The 23397-nt window shown below is 41.3% G+C and overlaps 2 annotated features.

Moving 5' to 3' along the window:
• Positions 13689-13983: a silencer, noted in NCBI's record as "tiled region #12572; HepG2 Repressive non-DNase unmatched - State 23:Low". NCBI's record gives its function as "represses a minimal TATA promoter and a strong SV40 promoter by Sharpr-MPRA in HepG2 cells {active_cell/tissue: HepG2}" and the evidence as "EXISTENCE:reporter gene assay evidence [ECO:0000049][PMID:27701403]".
• Positions 15349-16091: an enhancer, noted in NCBI's record as "H3K27ac-H3K4me1 hESC enhancer chr3:179008749-179009491 (GRCh37/hg19 assembly coordinates)". NCBI's record gives its function as "activates a minimal SCP1, AML or CMV promoter by ChIP-STARR-seq in primed H9 embryonic stem cells {active_cell/tissue: H9 hESC(primed)}" and the evidence as "EXISTENCE:reporter gene assay evidence [ECO:0000049][PMID:30033119]".

Here is a 23397-nt window from a genome sequence, read left to right on the forward strand (position 1 = left end):
CCAGCTACTCAGGAGGCTGAGGCAGGAGAATCACTTGAACCCGGGAGATGGAGGTTACAGTGAACCGAAATCACACCATTGCACTAAAGAGCTTCTGCACAGCAAAAGAAACTATCAGGACCAGGCATGGTAGCACATTGCACTTTGGGAGGCTGAGGCAGATGCATCCCTTGAGGCCAGGAGTTCCAGATCAGCCTGGCCAATCTCCTTCTCTACTAAAAGTACAAAAATTAGCTAGGCGTGGTGTTGTGCACCTGTAATCCCAGCTACTCGGGAGGCTGAGGCAGGAGAATCGCTTGAACCTGGGAGGTGGAGATTGCAGTGAGCCGAGACCACGCCACTGCACTCCAGCCTGGGCAACAGAGTGAGACTTTGTCTTTAAAAAAAAAAAAAAAAAAAGGCTGAAACAATAAACTCAAACTTTTATTAGAGGCTCTCAATATGTTCTAACTGGCCTTCTTATACTTTCCCTCCTATCCTTGCCAGCTTTCTTCTGACACCAGCCTTCCTTCCTTCCCTCTCCATTCTTGTCCTACATCTCTATCTCCAGGATGAAGCATATGACTCAGGCGTAGCCTATCAGAGCAGCACATCCCCTTACCCTCATTTGTGATTCAAGGCGGGGCATGTGAATGAATATAGAGCCAATGAGCCATTAAGGAACGTTTTTTGGGGTTGTTGGAAGAGAGACAAGCTTTCTTTTTCCACAGGACTAGAAACTGAGATTAAAGCTCTGAATACCTGGGACCTTCTCATGGTAGCAAAGAATGAAACCAACATGATAGAAGGTAGATTCAAAAGCTGAACAGAAATGAAATTCTGACCATATTGCTTGAGATCCTAGATGAAACTGTACCTAAATCAGGCTAATCAAACTACTTGATACTATTTTATTTACGGGAGCTAGAAATTCCGGGGTTTTTTGGTTTTTTTTTGTTTTGTTTTGTTTTGTTTTTGGTTTGTTTTTTTTTTTTTTTTTTTTTTTTTTTGCTATAAAGACGTCTTTTTGGTGACTTTTAACAAATGGGTTCTAATTGATTCAGCTGAAATACCAGCAGAGCTGGAGTGAGGTGAGGGAGGACATTACAGTATGTAATCTGAAGCATGTGCCCTAAAAATTCTTATTATATTTGTTTCCCTGCAATCTCACATAGTAAGTACCCTTGGTACTCCCAATTTCTCTTCTCTCTCTTCCCTACTGACCTCGACAAAATAGTTCAGCCTTCCATCTCTGAATGGCTCCTCTCCAGTTGACCAATGCCTTTTCTTGTGTAATTCTGTTTAAATCCCCTGCTTCTTCCAAACCTTATGTTTATCTGTTAAACCAGTCAGCACGATAAGGTGTGCTAGGCTTAGCACTGCAAAGACGGGATCTTCCTTAGATAGCATTGGTTGGTAAAAGGCTAGAAACATGGAGATTTTCTTATTTGTATCCCCACCACATGCAGTTTCAGTAAATTCTAATTGGAACTACATTGTATGAGCATCAGAAAAGTTTTTGCCAGACCAGAGAGTACACAGGCAGCAGGCCTCTGGATTATCCTCGACACATTCAGCACATAAGCCTCGCAGACTGGCCACTGCTCCAGGCCCACTAGGTCATTCAGAGAGTACAAGATCCATGCCCCACAGTCGCTGACTATCTTTCATAAACATTAAGTCAAATCATAAATATTATTAAATACCCACTCTATGCAGGGTAGTGGGCAATGCCTCCTTTTATACAATATCATTTTATTTTTATTAACTTTGTCATTTTTGTAGTCGGCTGCATCATCAAATCATTTATAAAATTTAAAATATTTTTATTCGGCCGAGCGAGGTGGCCCATGCCTGTAATCCCAGCACTTTGGGAGGCCGAGGTGGGTAGATCACTTGAGGTCAGGAGTTGGAGACCAGCCTGGCCAACATGGTAAAACCTCGTCTCTACTAAAAATACAAAATTAGCCGGGTGTGATAGCGCATGCCTGTAATCCCAGCTACTCGGGAGGCTGAGGCAGGAGAATCGCTTGAACCCAGGAGGTGGAGGTTGCAGTGAGCTGAGATCACGCCATTGCCTGGGCAACAAGAGCAAAACCCCGTCTCAAAATAAAATAAAATAAAATTTTTTTTATTAATTCAAAAGAATACAGAGCAGCATGTATTATTTTAATTGGTGGCATGGCCCATGAGTGCCAGAAGACAGTGAAGGAGAGACAGGACAGAAATAAGCTTCCTGAAGCTGGAAAGACCCAGACAGTTCCAGAAGAAAAGGCAATATCTGGTAGAATGAGAGGAAGGCAGATATTTTGAAAGACCATTTGCAAGACTGTGGTAACTACAACTTTTGTCTGCTCATCCCGCTTCCCACCCCTTTTCTTCTGATTCCTTTGGAGAAACTACTCCTTGCCCACATGTGTCCTTAGGGATCTCTCAATTGTGGTATCCGGCCACCCTCCCACAGGGATGAGTATTTCACCCAGATCATCCAGTTCACATATACCATGTTCCCAGTGAGGGACTACTTCCAGAATGAACACACGATCCAAGCGGAGCAAATGAGTTTTCTCTGAGAGTAGTGTAAGGATGCTGGAAGACAAAACTTCTATTTTCACCAGGGCTGTTCAGCTAGAGAATTTTATTCAGAGATATTGTCACCCATCTTACCTACCACATAGAGGGAACTTGTCTGTAGGACAGACAAGGAGAGGGAAAAAGGTAGAGAGAGAAAAGTTGCCCAAATGAGAATGTTTGAACTTCTAGATCCAGCTGTGCCTGAAGCCAGTCCACTCCTGGATACACTTCCCTGTTACATGAGTCAGTAAATTCACTTTCTGCTGAAGCCAGACTGACTTGGGTTTCTTTCATTTGTCTCTGAAAGAGTGAATTTCTGCCATCTAGGTAAAAGAAAGAAGTTTCACCAAAATACGAAAGTAATTATTCTTATTTTCTGCCTTCTTTTGCAGAAAAACTGACCCATTCGCATACTCATAAAGATGGTCATGAGTGAAGTACCCATCAACTTACCCACTTTAAATGATCTAGGAAAGGGCAAATAGGCTAGAAAATCAAATTTGCTCTATGTGCCAGCTATTAATCATGAATTAAAGCCTACCTTCTAACTGAATATGAACTGTTAATCATAATGAATTATAATTATCAATCAATCATAAATTGAAGCAAACTATCAATATTGGCAAAGTTAAGTGACCACATTCCCATTAACATTCTGGCAGCAAGGAATCAGTTCTCTCTGTAAGGACATGCTACACCACGACTACTTCCAGAGCAAATGATTACTTGCCTCGCTTTGCAGCCAGGTGGGCAAAAACAATCAACAACTTCATGGGTTACCCCATCTGATTCGTCCAAGCTGAAATATTTATGCCTTGTTTCCCTGACAAGTAAAAAAAGGGAAACAGCAAAAGAAATCCTACAAATCTTAAGCCTGGACTAGATTGCAAAGTGCCAAATGCAAAGAAATATTCACCCTGAAATATGTTAATGGCATTTCCTTTTTTGCATCTCTAACTGTGTGGTCTTTTCTCTAGTCAGCCCGAGACACAGAGCTCTCTGGGGCAGCTAAGCCAGAAGTGGGGATAGGATTTTTGCAATAAGGATGTCAACATTCAATCTCTGACATTCAAATGTATAATTTTGGTGACTGCAGCAACAGTAGAATTTGAAAGCCAGGCTTTGTCAAAAGAAAAGGATTTTCTACATGGCTTTATGTTCCTCTTTAACATTTGAGAAGCAGATCAGGCGAACCCAAGTCTGGGGAGCTCAATTTTTTCAGAACCATAAGGATGATGTAACTTCTAATTTTCTCCCAGAACACAAGTCCCACAGGCTTAGGTGAAAAGATCAGAAGGAAGTGGAAATCGCAAAGGTCACCCTGAGCCTGACACATAGTGAGTGCTCAAAAACTACTTGTCCACTTGAACTGGAAAAATTCAGAGGTGAGGGCCTAGGTAGGGGGCTTTCCCATTCTGGCACATTAACAGTTAGCAAAATTTCCCTTCACTAAAGTATAAATTCAGGAAATAGGAAGAACCCAGGACAGATAATCCACCCACAACTTCACCCCTCAGGCTCTATATTCCAAATTAGGAAAATGGGTTGAATTTATTCCCACTTGGTTGCATACTGTGTATCTGTTTCTGGCTGAGTTGGCTGCAGCTATGACCCAAACTCATTGATGCTATGTTCTGAAGATATAAACTTAAATCTCTTCTCCAGAGCCACATCTGTGAGATAAAAAAATGACACCACATCACTGAGTTATTTCCCAGCATCATCATAGGTCAAGAATGGACCAAACCACCACTCTAGGACCAGCCACCTCTGCTGGAAAGACCGCAGCAGCACCAAGCAGCCTGAATACTCACAGCTCCCTCTGCATGAGGGGCTGATATGAACTCCTCTTTCCAGAGGTTTTGCTGAATGTGCAAAAAAACACCAATAACAAAAATCTATTAAAACTGAAACACCTTCCTGGGTGGAAGGGTAGGACAATTAACTAGTTGAAAAGATCCACTGATTAAGCTGGGTCAAATTAACTCAAAATAAATGGGAAGACCAATGTCATTCATTTAAAAATATTTCTTGAGTGCCTACCACATACTCAATGCCAGAATAAAAGATGTATGAGGCCAATTCTGCTAACCACTCATTTTGCCCCATCCACAGTTGGACTTACTGCAGAGGGCTGCTCAGGCTGTGCATTGCAATGGTACCTCCAAGAAGTACCATTCACACAAGCTAGTAACTGCAGGATGGACCCTGGGAGTTTGCAACATGGTGGCCCTGCCATGACATTTATATTCCTGCTGGTGAAAGAGCTATAAAGGGATAATTATGTGGGACAGGTGCAGGAATAAAGGTATGTGCAAAAAGTTATGGAAACCTGGTCAAGTAACAAAATAGCTCTATTCTGCTTGACATCCATAGCTTCCCTCAAATTAAGGGAGCAGCAGGCCCAGGGTTCATGTGTCTACAGGCATTCCTGCAAACAGCATTCTTGTGCAACAGGAAGCGCCTTTAGAAAGTAGTTAATACCAGGCTGGGCAATGTGGCTCACGCCTGTAATCCCAGCACTTCAGGAGGCCAAGGTGGGAGGATCACCGGAGGTCAGAAGTTCGAGGCCAGCCTGCCCAACATGATGAAACTCCATCTCTACTAAAAATAAAAAAAATTAGCTCGGGGTGGTGGCAGGAGCCTTTAATCCCAGCTACTCGGGAGGCTGAGGCAGGAGAATCGCTTGAACCCAGGAGGCAGAGGTTGCAGTGAGCTGAGATCGTGCCACTGCACTCCAGCCTGGGTGACAAGAGCGAGACTCCGTCTCAAAAAAAAAAAAAAAAAAGAAACAAAGTAGTTAATACCAGGTGAAAGTGAGAGTTCTTAGCTTCCAGGCTAGCTCCCAAAGCACAAACCCTGAGCAATAGTGAGGTAGCCGGTGTGGTGCTGACCACAGACGCTGCACAGCCCACAAAGCAGGTGACTCAGGAATCCACAAGGGATCATTATTCCTTTTGCTTTTTGTCCCAGGAACCTGCAGTTGACTGGCTGGTGTTAAAGAGTAAAACCATGAGCTTCAAGTCAATGACTAGTAAAAAAGAAAAAGAAAAAAAAAAGTGAACCCAAAAGGTGGCTAAATATTTAGTTTGCTTTAAAAAAAAAACCATTTGGTGATTTCTCCCTGTCTTCTGGAAGAAAAATCTTAGTGCCAAGTTCATCAGTCTTTTGAGCACCTCTGTGCTTGCCAAGGGGGCTGAGGACATCAAATGACTTCAGTTGCCTTAGTGCACTCTTATGGGACACACAGAAGAGTCTCACTTCAATGACCCATAGGGGCAGCATAATTGAAACTAATACCCTCTTAGATAAGGTCATATTTAGAGTTGCAAGTTACATGTGAGGATATCTCCTTCACTGAGTTGTAATTCTTTGCTTTAAACATCAAAGTAAATAAATTACACAGATAACAAATAAACAAATAACCCTAACAGAAATAATGCAAGGCCAGGCACAGTGGCTCACGCCTGTAACCGCAGCACTTTGGAAAGCTGTGGCGGAAGGATTGCTCGAGCCCAGGAGTTTGAGGACAGCCTGGGTAACACAGGGAGACCTGGTCTCCGTTTTTTAATATTATAATATGTTTTTAAATTTGTTTCAAAAAAGAAATCAGAGAAGAGATAAAAAGATGCTACAAAAAAGGATAATTTTTGTTGATTATTACATAATAATAATTGAATAATAATTCTAAATAAATAAATGTAACAATAATAACTACCATTTGTTAGCTATTTTGAAATAAGTTCTCATGTTGTTGCCCAAGCTGGAGCGCAGTAGCACAATCATGGCTCACTGCACCCTCAACCTTCCAGGCTCAAGTGATCCTCCCATCTCAGCCTCCTGAGTAGCTGGGACTACAGTCATGTGACCACAATAGTGGGCTAATTTTTTTCTTTCTTTCTTTCTTTCTTTGGAGAGACTGGGTGTGACTATATTGCCCAGGCTGGTGTTAAGCGATCCTCCCACCATAGCCTCCCAAAATGTTGGAATTATAGGCATGAGCCACCGTGCCTGGCCTGAGTAATTATTTCCTAATTACCATATCTCATCATGCCCCAGGCACTGTGCATTGTCTCATTTAATCCTTAAAACAGTCCTGTAAGATAGATCCTAACAGACACCAACTATCAGATGAGGAAATTGAGGCTCAGAAAGTAACTTGTCCAAGAATACACAGTAAACTGAAAATAAGGGATGGAAAAAAATATTCCATGCAAATGGAAACCAAAAAAAGAGCAGGAGTCAGATAAATAAATTGGATAAATCAGACAAATAGATTTCAAGACAAAAACTATAAGAAGAGAACAAGAAGGTCACTATATAATGATAAAGGGGTCAATTCAGCAAGAGGATATAACAATTTGATAAATATATATGCACCAAACACTGGAGCACCCAGATATATAAAGCAAATATTATTAGAGAATCGCTTGAGCCTGGGAGGCGAGGCAGAGGCTATGGTAAGCCAAGATCACACCACTGTACTCCAGCCTGGGTGACAGAGTGACACCGTGTCTCAAACAAATAAACAAATAAATAAAAAAAAACTATACCAATCCTACTCAAACTATTCAAAAACACAAAGAAAGGAGGGAATACTTCCAAACTCATTCTATGAGGCCAGTATTATCTTGATACTAAAACTAGACAAAGACACATCAAAAAAATAAAACTATACACCAATATTTCTGATGAATATTGATGCAAAAATTCTCAAATACTACCAAATCAAACTCAATATTCGATAACTCATCAATATTCACTAACTCAATCACTCATCATTCATTATGACGAAGTGAGATTTAGCCTAGGGATGCAAAGATAGTTCAACATATGCAAATCAATTAATGTAATACATCATATCAACAGAATGAAAGACAAAACTATATGATCATTTCAATTGATGCTGAAAAAGCACTTGATAAAATTCAACAGCCCTTCATAACAAAAACCTCACAAAACTGGTTACAGAAGGAACATACCTCAACATAATAAAAAGCATATACAACAGATCCAGAGTTAGTATCATACTGAATGGGGAAAAATTGAAAGCCTTTTCTCTAAGATCTGGAAAACAACAAGGATGCCCACTTACACCACTGTTATTCAACATAATACTGAAAGTCCTAGCTTGAGCAATCATACAAGAGAAAGAAATAAAGGGCATCCAAATTGGATAGGAAGAAGTCAAATTATTCTAGTTTTCAGATATGATCTTATATTTGGGAAATACTAAAGATACCATCAAGAAAACTATAAGAACTGATAAACAAACTCAGTAAAGTTGCAGGATACAAATTCAACATACAAACATCAGTAGCATTTCTATATGCTAACAGTGAACAATCTGAAAAAGAAATTTTAAAAGATCCCATTTACAATAGCTACAAATAAAATTAAATACCTAGGAATTAACTAACGAAGTGAATGATATCTAAAATGAAAACTATAAAACATTAATGCAAGAAATTGAAGAAGCCACAAAAAAGGAAAGACATTACATGTTCATGGATTGGAAATATCAATAATGTTAAAATGTCCATATTACTCAAAGCGATCTACAGATTTAATGCAATGCCTATCAAAATACCAATGACATTCTTCACAGAAATAGAAAAAAATTTCTAAAATTCATTTGGAACCACGAAAGACCCAGAAGAGCCAAAGCTACCCTGAGCAAAAAGAACAAAATGGGAGAAATCACTTTATCTGACTTAAACTTATACTATAAAACTACAGTAACCAAAACAGCAAGGTACTGGCATAAAAACAGACACATACATCAGTGGAACAGAATAGAGAACCCAGAGGTAAATGCATACATCTGCAGTGAATTCATTTTTGACAAAGTTACCAAGAGCATAAATTGGGGAAACGACAGTCTCTTCAATAAATGATGCTGGGAAAACTGGATATCCATATGCAAAAGAGTGAAACTAGACCTGTTATCTCTAGCCTTATACAAAAATCAAATCAAAATGGATTAAAGACTGAAATTTAAGACCTCGAACTATGAAACTAGTAAAAGAAAACAGTAAGTCCCAGAGTAGGCAAAGATTCCTTGAGTAAAACCTCATAAGCACAGGCAACCAAAGCAAATGTGAACACATAGGATCATATCAAATTAAAAACTTTCTGCATAGCAAAAGAAAGAATCAACAAAGTGAAGAGACAAACCACAGAGTGGTAGAAAATAATTGCAAACTACCCATCTGACAAGGGGTTAATAATCAGAATATAAAAGGAGCTCAAACAACTCTATAGGAAAAAATATAATAATCCAGTTTTTTAAATGGGCAAAAGATCTGCATAGACATTTCTCAAAGGAAGACATACAAGTGGGAAACAAGCATACAAAAAGGCATTGTCATTGATCATCAGAGAAATGCAAATCAAAACTACAATGACATATCATCTCACCCCAGTTAAAATGGCTTTTATCCAAAAGTCAAGCAATAACAAATGCTAGCAAGAATAGGGAGAAAAGGGAACCCTTGTACACTGTTAGTGGGAATGTAAATTAGTACAATCACTATGGAGAACAGTTTGGAGGTGCCTCAAAAAACTGAAAATAGAGGTAGGTATATACTCAAAAGAAAAAAAATCAGGCTGGGCGAGGTGGCTCACGCCTGTAATCCCAGCACTTTGGGAGGCCGAGATGGGTGGATCATCTGAGGTCAGGAGTTTGAGACCAGCCTGGCCAACATGGTGAAACCCCGTCTCTACTAAAAATACAAAAATTATCTGGGCATGGTGGTGAGTGCCTGTAATCCAAGCTACTCAGGAGGCTGAAGCAGGAGAATTGTTTGAACCCGGGAGGCAGAGGTTGCAGTGAGCCAAGATTGCGCCACTACACTCCAGCCTGGGCAACAGAGCGAGACTCTGTCTCAAAAAGAAAAGAAAAGATTAAAAGATATCCCAAAGATATCTACACTCCCAAAGATATCCAAATCTTAGCTATTGCAGCACTATTCGCAATAGCCAAGATTTGAAAGCAATCCATCAACTAACAAATTGATTTTTTTTAATGTGGTACATATACACAATGGAGTACTATTCAGCCATTAAGAAAATGAGGTCCAGTCATTTGCAATAACATGGATGGAACTGGAGGTCATTATGTTAAGTGAAATTTAAGCCAGGTACAGAAAGACAAACTTCACATATTCTCACTTATTTGTGGAAGTTAAAAATTAAAACAATTCGACTCATGGAGATAGTAGAAGGACGGTTACCAGAGGCTTGGAAGAGTATGGGGCGGGTTGTTGGGGGGTGTAGGGCGGGGAGTGGGATGGTTAGTGGGTACAAAAAACAAAAAGAATGAATAAGACTAGTATTTGATAGCACAATAGAGTGACTATAGACAAAAATAATTTTTTGTACTTTTTATTTCTTTTCAATATTTATAATTTATTTTGCAAATGTAGGTTTCATTAGTGATTCCTTTATTTGATTTTATGCTATTTTATTTTACTTTACATTACGGGATACATGTGCAGAACGTGCAGGTTTGTTACATAGGTATACATGTGCCATGGTGGTTTGCTGCACCTGTCAACCCATCACATAGGTTTTAAGCCCCGCATGCATTAGGTATTTGTCCTAATGCTCTCCCTCCACTTGCCCTCCACTCCCCGCATTTTTAAACAACTAAGAGTATAATTGGATTGTTTGTGACACAAGGATAAATACTTGAGATGATGGACACCCCATTTACCCTGATGTGATTATTGCATGCCTGTATCAAAATATCTCACGTAACCCATAAATACATAAAACTACTATGTACCCACTTAAATTAAAATAAAAAATAAAAATAATAAAAAATAAAATTTGCCATGAATAAACATTGATTAAATGAAACAGCATGAAATGAATCTGTTATCTTAATACTTGGAGTTGTCCCAATACCTGAAACAAATGTTCTATCTCTTGCCCTTTTGATTTTTCATCCTTCTGCCAGGGATATCAGTTGAAGGTTGAAGTGGCAGAGAGGAATTAGGGAGCCTGTATAAAGTAAAACAAGCTTGGTGCCTGCTACAAAAGCTGGCTTTTTCATGCTGTCTTTGAAATACAGTCTGTATTTTACACTTCTAAAATATCTCAGTAAGGACAGTAAATTTTCAGTGGTTAGAACCATGTATCGTAGAAACCTCCGTGGTTCACAGTGAAACCCAGGAAGGAGGGAGGAACTTGTCTTCTTTCCCAAACAGTCTGAATTACATCTTTCAGCAATTCTACATCTTGAGACCAGCAAGCTATAAAGGCCTAGAATATAACTAACAGAAAGACTGTCAGCGCAAAAAGGGAATAGTAAAGGGAGGAAGAGACATGAGCTGCAGGATTAGAAAGTGGGCATCTGGATTAAGTCAAGGATCAAATCTGAACATGGCTGATCCATGTCGACAAAGCCATGCATTTCCTTTGACCTCGTAAACCTCTTTACACTCTGGCTCTTTTTTTTTTTTTTTTTTTTAGACGGAGTTTCGCTTTTGTTGCCCAGGCTGGAGTGCAATGGTGCAATCTCCGCTCACTGCAACCTCTGCCTCCCAGGTTCAAGCAATTCTCCTGCCTCAGCCTCCCAAGTAGCTGGGATTACAGGCTCCCACCACCACACAGGAACTCGTGCTTCCTAAAACCCTCCTACCTTTGTTTCCTCTTTTGGTCCTCATGGGTATTTCTCAATCAGAGAAATGAGAAAGTTGGGGGAGAACTTATTTCAACATGGTCACAGGCACTTTGATTGGTGCCTTACACATGCTATTTCATTTAATCCTTACAACAACCTTATGAAGAAGATGTGTTTCTACTCCTCAGATGAGAAAACTGAGGCCCAGTGAGGTCAAGAAGTTTGCGCAAAATCACATAGCTGGCAAGGGGGGATATAATTTATACTCTCTACTTTGAAAGTCCATGCTCAAAGCCACCCGGAGCTGAAGCTTCCCATTAGCTACCTAGAACAATAGGCTTTATTGTTGGAAGATGCAATTGAGATCGCCTAGTCTATCACTATCCAATATGGATACAATGTGGACCATATAAATAATTTAAATTTTTCCAGTAGCCACATTTTTAAAACATTAAAAAGAAACAGGTGAAATTAATTGTAATAGTATTATTTTATTTAATCCAACATATCTAAAATATTATCACATAAACATAGAGTCAATACAAAAATGTATTAATGAGATAGTTTATAGTGTCTTTCACACTGTTCTTTAAAGACGATTTTACACTTCTAACCCATCTCAGTAAGGATACTAAATTTTCAACGGCTAAAGTAAAATGTAGTGCTGTCAAAGTTACTACGTTTTGTTTAAAAGAGAAATGTTTTATGCCGTTCCCATTTTTAAATTTAAATTTGACAGTGCGGCAGCTTACACCTGTAATCCCAGCATTTTGGGAGGCCAAGGCAGGTGGATCGCTTGGGCCCAGAAGTTTGAGACCAGCTTGGGCAACATGACAAAACCTCATCTCTACAAAACAGTACGAAGAAGTAGCCAGCTGTGGTGGTGCACACCTACAGTCCTGGGTACTCAGGAGGCTAAGCAGAGAGAATCACCTGAGCCTAGGAAGTCAAGGCTGCAGTGAGCTGAGATCATGCCACTGCACTCCAGCCTGGGTGACAAGGGATACCCTGCCTCTAAGTAAGTAAATAAGTAAATAAATAAATAAATAAGAATTTGAATTCATTAAAGTTAAATACAATTTAAAATTCAGTTTCTCCCCAGCCGCACTAGCCACACACATTTCAGGTGATCAATAGCCATATGTGGCTGGCGGCCACTGTATTGGAAAGTGTCAAACTAGCTGAAATACCTCAACTTACAGATGAAGAAACTGTAGCACAGAGAGGTTAAATGACTTGCTCAGAGTTATTGTCAGTTCGTAGCTGAGTTGGAACTAACCCAAGCTTCCTAACACTGACCTTTCTATCACACCACGTGTAGTGAGGCACTGTTAAACTGATGGGTTGCTGAGGTTGATTTTCAGGCATTTTGGGGGCCATCCCTCAAACTGACTACATTCCCCTTCTGGCCCTCTCGCTCTTTGGACAAGCTCTCCTTGGGGACTCCTACATCGTCACCATAATTCCACCTGTAAAGCTCACCCGGAGCGTGCCCCCAAGCCAGGTCCCATATGGCCCTGTTCATAAGAAAGAAGTATGAATGAATATATATATTTTTAAAATATTTTGACAAAATGACTTAAATCTAGTCATTTTTACACTATTTCCAAGGACAATTTAATAATGTATGCCAACAATTTTTAAGCATACCTTCATCCTCCAGCAGAAAGAATGTAGCAAATTTCTCTTGTTAACATTATTTTATGGGTAGAACCATGAGATGCTAAGAAATTGGACAATTTACCTAAGATTGCATGAAGCTTCAGGAGCTGACAAGTTGAGAACGCTTTCTATTCCTGTTCCTGGCCTCTTTCTAAGTCATAGCACTTCTCTTCGATTACCTGCATTTTCTAAATAGAAGATGAGGTCTGAATTTAAAGTAGAAAAGATTAGTATGTAAAAGCCCAATAGTTGAGATTTTTGTCATCCAAACAAAAGTCAAGGTAAAACTAATATTTTTAATTCAAGATAAACTCATATTAATAGCAAGGTAATGTCCAAATTAATACCAAGGGCAACAGATACATCACTGTTTGTAGAGACTAATTTTTCACGTTGATTTGTGGGGAGTCCTTAGCAACACTCATTAGGAGCAATGCTGTGGAGGTTTAGGTGGCCCTGAAATTGATTTATGTCTTACCATGTCTTAGGTCTCATTTTTATAGACAAAGGTAGAGCTATACAGTACTCTTAACTGATGGTAGCCATGGAATTCTAAGCCTTGAAATGTAGTGTATGTAATGACCCAGAGAGGATCATCATTCCTCAGGAAGCAGATCTGCTGATAGAGAGCTGGAGCTTTTCTGCTGAGTCAGGGAACTCATAAGGTAAACCTTGGAAGAAAACAAGGGAATGAATAAGACGGGGAAGCGAGGTGCCCCATAAAAATGCCTTGCAAAAAATAACCCAGAAAAGGAATGCAACTTTTTTCTCTTCTGGGTTTTCGTTTTAAGATCAATCTGTTCCTCGGCTGATATGTAATGAATAAAAATCTGCCTACTGGAAGTGTCCACATAGCGTCCTCACTCTGCTCTTTGTCTGCCACAGGTTAGGCCCTCAAATCCCCAAAGACAGCAATCTCCTCTTCTCTCCAAAGACTTATCTTTCTGCAGGTTAATCATACTCAGCTTCTTCAACTCTTCTTCATAGGACAGATTAATTCATTCAATCAACAAGATCACACCCTATTACGTTCCAGGCCATGTGCAGTGCACTCAGAACACAGAGATCAATGGGATGCAGTCCCACCCACACACTTCCCATGTCAGGGCTGATTTCCAACAGGCAAAAAATGCTACACGAGATGTGTTGATTTGCAATGAATTAAATTATAACTTCAGGTAAATGATGTTCATCCTCTGGATATATGATGTTCATCCTCTGGATATTTTTTGAGAATCTTTTATGTACAGAGCGTATTTTAAGCCTTTCTAACCAGGAGAATCCTTAAGAAGTGGGGGTGAAGCAGTTTTTGCCCTCAACAACTAAGACTTTAAGCTTATTGCCTGTGTCTGTGGCTATAAAACTGTTTGCATTCTCATTAGTTATTTGCGCACTAAGAGCAGAATTGTGCATCTTTTCCACTGGAAAGTCACAAACATGGTTAAATTTAAGTAGACTCTGTGTGCTTGCATGTGTTCACGTAATAACAAGTATAATCCTTAGAAAAACACTTTATTGAAGTACGATGGCAGGAAAAAGATTGTTCATATTTAATGTGCACACCTTGATGAGTTTGGGGATAAGAATACACCTGTGTAACCATCACCACCATTAAGGCCACAGACATACACATCACCTTCCAAAGTTTCCTTCCACCCTATTTTATTATTATTATTATTATTTTCATGTTAAAAAACCTTTAAGATCTATCCTTTTAGCAAATTTTAAATATATAGTACAGTATTGTTAGCTATAGGCACTATGCTGTATAGTAAATCTCCAGAACTTATTTATCTTACATAACTAAAAATTGTTCAGTTATCTTTGACCATCATCTTTTTTTTTTTAATTTATTTTTTTATTGATAATTCTTGGGTGTTTCTCACAGAGGGGGATTTGGCAGGGTCATGGGACAATAGTGGAGGGAAGGTCAGCAGATAAACAAGTGAACAAAGGTCTCCGGTTTTCCTAGGCAGAGGACCCTGCGGCCTTCCGCAGTGTTTGTGTCCCTGATTACTTGAGATTAGGGAGTGGTGATGACTCTTAACGAGCATGCTGCCTTCAAGCACCTGTTTAACAAAGCACATCTTGCACCGCCCTTAATCCATTTAACCCTGAGTGGACACAGCACATGTTTCAGAGAGCACAGGGTTGGGGGTAAGGTCACAGATCAACAGGATCCCAAGGCAGAAGAATTTTTCTTAGTACAGAACAAAATGAAAAGTCTCCCATGTCTACTTCTTTCTGCACAGACACGGCAACCATCCGATTTCTCAATCTTTTCCCCACCTTTCCCGCCTTTCTATTCCACAAAGCCGCCATTGTCATCCTGGCCCTTTCTCAATGAGCTGTTGGGCACACCTCCCAGACGGGGTGGTGGCCGGGCAGAGGGGCTCCTCACTTCCCAGTAGGGGCGGCCGGGCAGAGGCGCCCCTCACCTCCCGGACGGGGCGGCTGGCCGGGCGGGGGGCTGACCCCCCACCTCCCTCCCGGACGGGGCGGCTGCCGGGCGGAGAGGCTCCTCACTTCTCAGACGGGGCGGCCTGGCAGAGACGCTCCTCACCTCCCAGACGGGGTCGCGGCTGGGCAGAGGCGCTCCTCACATCCCAGATGGGACGGCGGGGCAGAGGCGCTCCCCACATCTCAGACGATGGGCGGCCGGGCAGAGACGCTCCTCACTTCCTAGATGTGATGGCGGCCGGGAAGAGGCGCTCCTCACTTCCTAGATGGGATGGCGGCCGGGCGGAGACGCTCCTCACTTTCCAGACTGGGCAGCCAGGCAGAGGGGCTCCTCACATCCCAGACGATGGGCGGCCAGGCAGAGACACTCCTCACTTCCCAGACGGGGTGGCGGCTGGGCAGAGGCTGCAATCTCGGCATTTTGGGAGGCCAAGGCAGGCAGCTGGGAGGTGTAGGTTGTAGCGAGCCGAGATCACGCCACTGCACTCCAGCCTGGGCACCATTGAGCACTGAGTGAACGAGACTCCGTCTGCAATCCCGGCACCTCGGGAGGCCGAGGCTGGCGGATCACTCGCAGCTAGGAGCTGGAGACCAGCCCGGCCAACACAGCGAAACCCCGTCTCCACCAAAACCAGTCAGGCGTGGCGGCGCGTGCCTGCAATCGCAGGCACTCGGCAGGCTGAGGCAGGAGAATCAGGCAGAGAGGTTGCAGTGAACTGAGATGGCAGCAGTACAGTCCAGCTTCGGCTCCGCATGAGAGGGAGACCGTGGAAAGAGAGGGAGACCGTGGGGAGAGGGGAGAGGGGACAGGGGAGAGGGGAGAGGGACCATCATCTTTACTTCCTTCTGTTATTAAGCTATTACCATTCATTATCCATCAATGTCAAAAACATCATTTGCTCATTCATTTATTCATGAGTATTTGAATCCCTATCATGTACCAGGCACTGCTCAAGGCTCAGGAAAAACAATGGTGCATGTAAAAGACCCAAATGTCAGCCTTTGTGGAGCTTATTAAGAGTTATGATTCCTGGCCGTGCACAGTGAATCATGCCTGTAATCCCAGCACTTTGGGAGGCCGAGGCGGGTGGATCACTTGAGGTCAGGAGCTCAAGACCAGCCTGGCCAGCTTGGAGAAACCCTGTCTCTACTAAAAGAATACAAAAATTAGCCAGGTGTCGTGGCGGGTCCCTGTAATCCCAGCTACTTGGGAGGCTGAGGGTAGGAGAATCACTTGAACCTGGGAGGCAGAGGTTGCAGTGAGTCAAGATCGTGCCATTGCACTCCAGCCTAGGTGACAGAGCAAGACTCTGTCTCAAAAAAAATACAGTTATAATTCCTGTCTTGTTTGAGAAATAATGCTTTGCAAAATTCCAACCACCTCAAGCATTGTTTAAAAAAAAAAAACAAAAAAAACTCTTCAGATTAATCCTCTGTGCAGAAAAAATGTTTAAAAGATCAATTATCAATCATTGAATTACAGTTAGCCCATCAGCTCTTCCTAAATAGTACTTGCTTAAAGACCCACAAAGGTGCTCCAGCAGAGTGTTTATCAGAAACTACAGTTAACTTTCTTCTACTTTCCTCTCTGTCCTCCACTTTCTCTTTACTTTATTTAAGGGAAAGCAAGATGTGTTCCTCCAGGGGATTGTTTCAGAAAATCCCTTTCTCATTTGGCTCATTTCCATGTAAACAGTGGTTTCCAGATGAGGTAATGGGTCTAATGGGAATTTGAATTATCTTCAAAGCATTAGTTAAAGGGGAGTCACCAGTTTAGGGGGCTGATCAGCCAGCGAATGCTCTGCTCTCTGTTTCTAGGTAATAATTAACAGAAGGTCTTCCGCAAGCAATAAATATCCTTTGATGTCCCCCATTAAATTGTCTCCTGATATCAGCTTTCTGTATTCTCCCTTGGTGGCACTTACTCAAATCTTACAGAGTCATTTACCCAGGCTCAAGAGCAGAAAACTCATGAACTGCCTGGAGGTAGCATCTGAAAAGGAGAAGCCGTTACACACAATTCTTTTCCTCACCCCACTCCCAAAAACTTACACTGGGCCAGGCATGGGGCTCACACCTGTAATCCCAGCACTGGGCGGGGAGCTCATGCCTGTAATCCCAGCGATTTGGGAGGCTGAGGAGGCCGGATCACCTGATGTCGGGAATTCGAGGCCAGCCTGGCCAACATGGCAAAAACCCGTCTCTACTCAAAATACAAAAATTAGCTAGGTGTGGTGGCGAGTGCCTGTAACCCCAGCTACTCAGGAGGCTGAGGCAGGAGAATCTCTTGGACCTGGGAGGCAGAGGATGCAGTGAGCTGAGGTCATGCCACTGCACTCCAGCCTGGGCTACAGAGCGAGACTCCATCTCAAAAACAAAAACAAAAATTTACACTGCAGCTAACAGTTTTCTAGAAAGGTAGGCTATTACCACAGAACTTCACTATCAATGCCCACCTTTATAACTCAAAGACAGACCAAATTTACTGAGAAAAAGCCATGCAATCCAACAGAAAAATAAGTAAAACTTGAACAGATACTTCACAAAACAAGAAATCCAAATTGTCAATGAAAAGGTGTAAACCTCATTAGTTATCACGCAAATTGCAACCACACTGATACACACTATCCTGGCACTGTAATAGCCACAAATAAGGCGGGGGACAAAAAGAATGCCAAGTGTGGGTAAAGATTCAGAGTAACTGGAACTCTAATGTTGGTGAGGTTGTAAAGTGGTATAACCATTTTGGAAAACAATTTGGTAGTATCTAGTAAAGTTAAAGATATACATACACATGAAAAAAATTATAGTATATTCAAGCAGGAATATCATTTAACAACAAAACTGATCAACTTCAGCTACATGCGGCGATATGAGTAACTCTTACAGCATAATGTTGAGGGCAAAAAGACACAAAAGAATTTATACAGGCTGGGCACAGTGGCTCATGCCTTTAATCCCAGCACGTTTGAAGGCTGAGACAGGCAGATCACTTGAGCTCAGGAGTTCGAGATCAGCCTAGCCAACATGGCAAAACCCCCTTTTGTACAAAAAATACAAAAATTAGCTGGGCGTGGTGGTGCACGCCTGTAGTTCCAGCTACTCAGGAGGCTGAGGCATAAGAATCGCTTAAACCCGGGAGGCAGAGGTTGCAGTGAGCCAATATTGCACACTGCACTCCAGCCTGAGTGACAGAGTGAGACTGTCTCAAAAGAAATATAAAAGAATATATAGACTATGATTTATACAAAGCTTGAAAACACACAAAAACTATGCAATATTGTTTAAGGATGTACGCAGACGTGGTTAAACTATAAAGAAAAGAAAGAAAGTGATTAACATAAAGAAAACAGTTTCTCCTGGAAAGAGGGCAGGGATTATAATCAGAAATTGATAGGTGGATTACTCTGAAGTGCTCACAATGTTTAATTTTTTAATCTGAATGCCAGTTACATGGATGTTTCCCTTATAAATATTGTTAAACTGTGTGAATTAATTGATGCATATTTCTAAACAAATGCGCAATATTTTCCGAAAAAAATGTTTTAAAAGGTAGAGCTGGGACAAGCTAGGTAACACCATTGCTCATCTCCCTTGGCCTCTCACCTTATCAGTTATTTTGATGTTTCTTATTTTTAACATTATTTCTTATCTGGGAAATGTTTTCTTTGAGAAAGGAATAAGAAATGTAGGGGTTATTTTTATCTCATAGATTCCCCACACATAAATAGAAAAGCAGAAGAAAAGAGGAATCAGCAGAATAAAATAAAGAATTGCTTCTGTCACTGTGAAGGCTAAACATTCGAATGCTAATTTTACTGCAAAGTCTGTGACATATAAATCCCTGTATTTTCTGAGTCTCATTCCCTCAGCAGAAAGAGAAAATAGTAATTGCCTTCTTCACTAGGGTGGGGAGGGAATACTTGCCTGTGAAGCAGCGTTATCTCGTCAGCTCTTTGAAGCTTCCTTCAAATCTTGCAATATGAAAACAAACAAGCAGCACAACGTCAGAAGAAAAGAAACCACATAAGAAAATAAAAAGATACAAAGCAAAATCTCAGTGTTGAAAAATTTATATATTACTCGTTTATTAATAAATCAGAAACTACAAGAAGCTATCACCCATTCATTCACTTATTCATTCAACAAACATTGACTGATCCTTTACTACTCTTAAACATTGTGGGAGCTGAATAAGACATGGTTCCTGTTCTGAAAAAGCTTACAATTGAGTCAAGAAAAAAACGTCTGTACATACTTCTTCCCTGGAGCCCAGGAGTTCAAGACCAGCCTGGGCAGCACGGTGAAACCCCAGATTCTACAAAAAATACAAACATTTTTTGGGAATGACAGCATGCCTGTAGTCCCAGGTACTCAGCAGGCCGAGGTGGGAGAATCACTTAAACCCAGGTCAAGGCTGCATTGAGCCACAATTACACCACTGCCTTTCAGCCTAGGCAACAAAAAATTTGGGGGAAAAAAAATACCTCACAATTTAATAAGTATGAGTCCCTGCTTTAAATTACCCATAAATCATAATTTTCTCTCTTGTAGCAGATAAGTGCTTACGTTTTGGATACAATCCTTATTTCATAAACTTGCAGATGACAATCCCCATACGTTCCCAGTTGTTGCATCTCTCGTCACTCTAAGTGATTCTCAAACTGGGGAACCTAGTCATGGAAATTCATTTGATGAGACAACTAAGTTAAATTTGGAAGTTCAGTCACAAAGAAAACAACTGTTTTTTGGGAAAGGCAGTTCTGACTTGTGTGTAGATTTGCATGTGGTGTTGCACGATGTATTGTGATTGGATAAAACCCTAATAGTGTTTTCTCCGTTCAGAAGCAGGGGACTAATTATAAGAAAACACTTAGCAGATTGAACTGAGGCATTAACATAGGGGGTTAATTAGCATTTCCACCCTGGGGAAACTCAAAGACGTTTCCGCTGACCTTCATGAGCTAAGTTAACCAAATCTTGCATAGACTTTCATCCTAAGAAGTCTAATTTTAACGGTTGCTTAGAATACATTATAGACTAACTCATTATAGATCCTCAACTCTGGCCTCTCATTAGAACGACTTGATGAATTGTATATGTACATTTTTTTATGCTTATGACCTGACCCTTATCCCAGAGTTCCTTGATGAGATTATTTGTGCCTATATTTTTAGAAAGCTCCGCAGGTGACTCCTATGCCAACCAGGATTTAGAATCAGAAAAATGAGCTGCAATAAAGAAATCTGGTTCTAACCCAGGTCTGCCACGACTAGCTACTTTAACTTTGAGCAATTCCCTAAAATCTGTCTTAGCCCCAAATCCTCATTAATAAAAGAGGGATAATAATGATTATAACTACCTCCCACTATCTCATGTAAGAGAAAAATCCTGAGACTACAGGTGTTATAAAAGTGCTCCAAAATGTTTCATATGAACGCTGATTTATTGTGATTATCAAATCCAATGATTACAGCCATGCAAGATGGCTCACACCTGTAATCCCAGCATTTTGAGAGGCCAAGGTGTGCAGATCACTTGAGGTCAGGAGTTCGAGACCAGCCTGGGAAACATGGTGAAACCTCGTCTCTACTAAAAATACAAAAATTAGTTGGACTTGGTAGTGCATGCCTGTAATCCCAGCTACTTGGGAGGCTGAGGTGGGAGGATCACTTGAGCCCGAGAGGCAGAGGCTGCAGTGAGCTGAGACTGAGCCACTGCATCCAGCCTTGGCAACACAGTGACATCCTGTCTCAAAAAAAAAAAAAAAAAAATCCAGTAGTCACTTCCTTTTACGGTTTACCAACATTGGAATTTGGCCTCTAGTTTCTTGAAATATTGTTTGCTCGTGGATTCCATGACATGACACTCTCTCGTTTTCTCTTACCTCGGGGACCATGACTCTTCCATCTTCTTTTCTGGCTTTCCTGCTTTGTTGGAGCTCTAAACAGTGGACTACCCAGGGCTCAGTTGTGGTTTTTCTCCTTTTCTCTGTATACATTCTCTCCTTAGTGATCCCATCCAATTTCATGAGACCCATGGTTTAAAATAGGCATCTCTATAATCATGAGTCCCAAATTTACATCTGTAGCCCTCATGGTTGTTAACCATCCAAGCACCTACTTGACTTCCCCATTTGGAGGTCTACACCATCTACTGAAGATGTCCAAAAGAGAATTCCTAGTTCTCACTCCCAAAATTGTTCATCCCAACAATTTCCAATGTGTGTGTGATTTATTACAAGGAGTTGGTTTATGCCATTGTAGGGGCTGTCTAAGCAAGTTCACAATCCAAACAGCAGGTAGTCCAGAAAGGAATATTGGTCAGACTTGAGCTCAGCAGGCACAGGCTAAAGCCATTGTATCATCTCCCCTCTCTCTCCTCTCTCCCTCAAAGACTGTCTGACAATGGGCCAATAATCAAGTTATTCAAAGGAGATTCCATGCTCCCCACCATAGAATCTGCTCCCCACCTAATGCCGTGGGCTGGCGTTAGGTATTGTAGAGCACTAAAACAGTCTTCTCGAAAGATCAACCCCCAAAATTTCTTAGTCTATCTCTCTCACCTCCTTCTGGTTCAAACACTTTAATAAGGTGGTTTGGTCAATGCATGTGGCTATCCCCAGAGAGAGATCATTTCCTTTTAGCCTCCTTCTTTGTAATGATCAGGAAGAAAGAAGGGGTTATATAGACCTATTTTGAAAATGTGAGATTTTTACCCCGACCATTTCTGAGTACAATGATTCTTTTATTCCACTAACAGCAGCCCCAGACTTGTGTGATTGGTATACTTTCCATGTAACAGTCAGGCAAAAAAGATGCCTAAGCATTCAAAATTACTTGATTCTCTTATTGAATTCAAACTTGTTGGACTGACATGGTCCTAGATCCTAGAGGTAATGATCACTTGGTTCAGTACATCAATCACCAAGTCCTTGTAGAGTGGTCTGTGTGAGCCAAGGTGGAAGATATAATGGATCTCTGTAAATTTCATTAAAATGCCCTTGTTCCTCTCATACCTGATCCCCCTGGGTACAAATAGGAGATTCTTAGAAAAAAAGGTACGGTTACCAGAATGGACACATCAATTTTGTGGCCATGAAGGGAAAGCAACACCCTAGCACCAGAGTAGGGAATACCTTAGACCCTGGGAAGTAGAGGGAGGGGCAGAAGAGTTTATGCTCTCTCTGTCTGTTATACCCACCAACACAGTCTGGCAAAATGATCTTGTGGTCTACTTGTAACAAGCAGCAGCTGTGAGGGGAAATCTGACCTACCACTGAGTTTGTCATCCCTGTCTATATGCTAATGAAAACACAGAAGCTCATGTGGATATGTCTGGTGCTGAATTATTCCCCTATGCCTGAGACCACCGATGACAGTTCCTGAATGTGCCCTTCACCATTTGTGTACAAACACAAGGACCAGCACAACCTTGTTTCAATCTCACTGATACGTATTTGTATACTTCTCCTGATACCCAAAGGAGCCTTAGAGGGCAAGGGTTAGATTGTTGGGAGAGGCTTCACCATGAGCCCTGAGCTTCCTTGCACATTCTTGCTGAGAATGCTCAGAACACAAGGCCCTCAGAGCTCTTCACCCAGGCCATTTCTCAGGGTGATAGTTGCCATGAGTAACCTTGTGGGATGAAGTAATGTTTCCTTCCCGGACAAAGAGCAGGCTGTTTACAGCCTCAGCTTCAGTGTTCTTCTCCTGTAAGACCACTGTGTGTTCAGTCACCCATCAGTGTCACTCACATTACTCCGTGGAACTTGAGGGGCAAGAGGAGCTGATGCCAAAATGCTTATTCTCATTCAGCTTATTGTACCACCAATATGAAATCCTTTTTCTCTGTCCCAAGATTCTTATATCTCCTGTCAGCATTCATGAAATAATAACAAGCTAACTTATTAGCTTGTACACAGGGCACAATCAGACCCCTGATCTGATTTATATAAGGCCAAATTTCTGATTTAAAAAATCTGTGTGTATTTAAAATATACATGTGTGTGTGTATATATATGTATGGCTCCTAATGGTTCTGATTCTTTGATTGAACATTCACTGATACATCTGTTAAAAGGCTTCTATCCA

Source organism: Homo sapiens, chromosome 3 (genome assembly GCF_000001405.40).
Source record: "Homo sapiens chromosome 3, GRCh38.p14 Primary Assembly".
In the NCBI taxonomy this organism is placed as follows: Eukaryota; Metazoa; Chordata; class Mammalia; order Primates; family Hominidae; genus Homo; species Homo sapiens.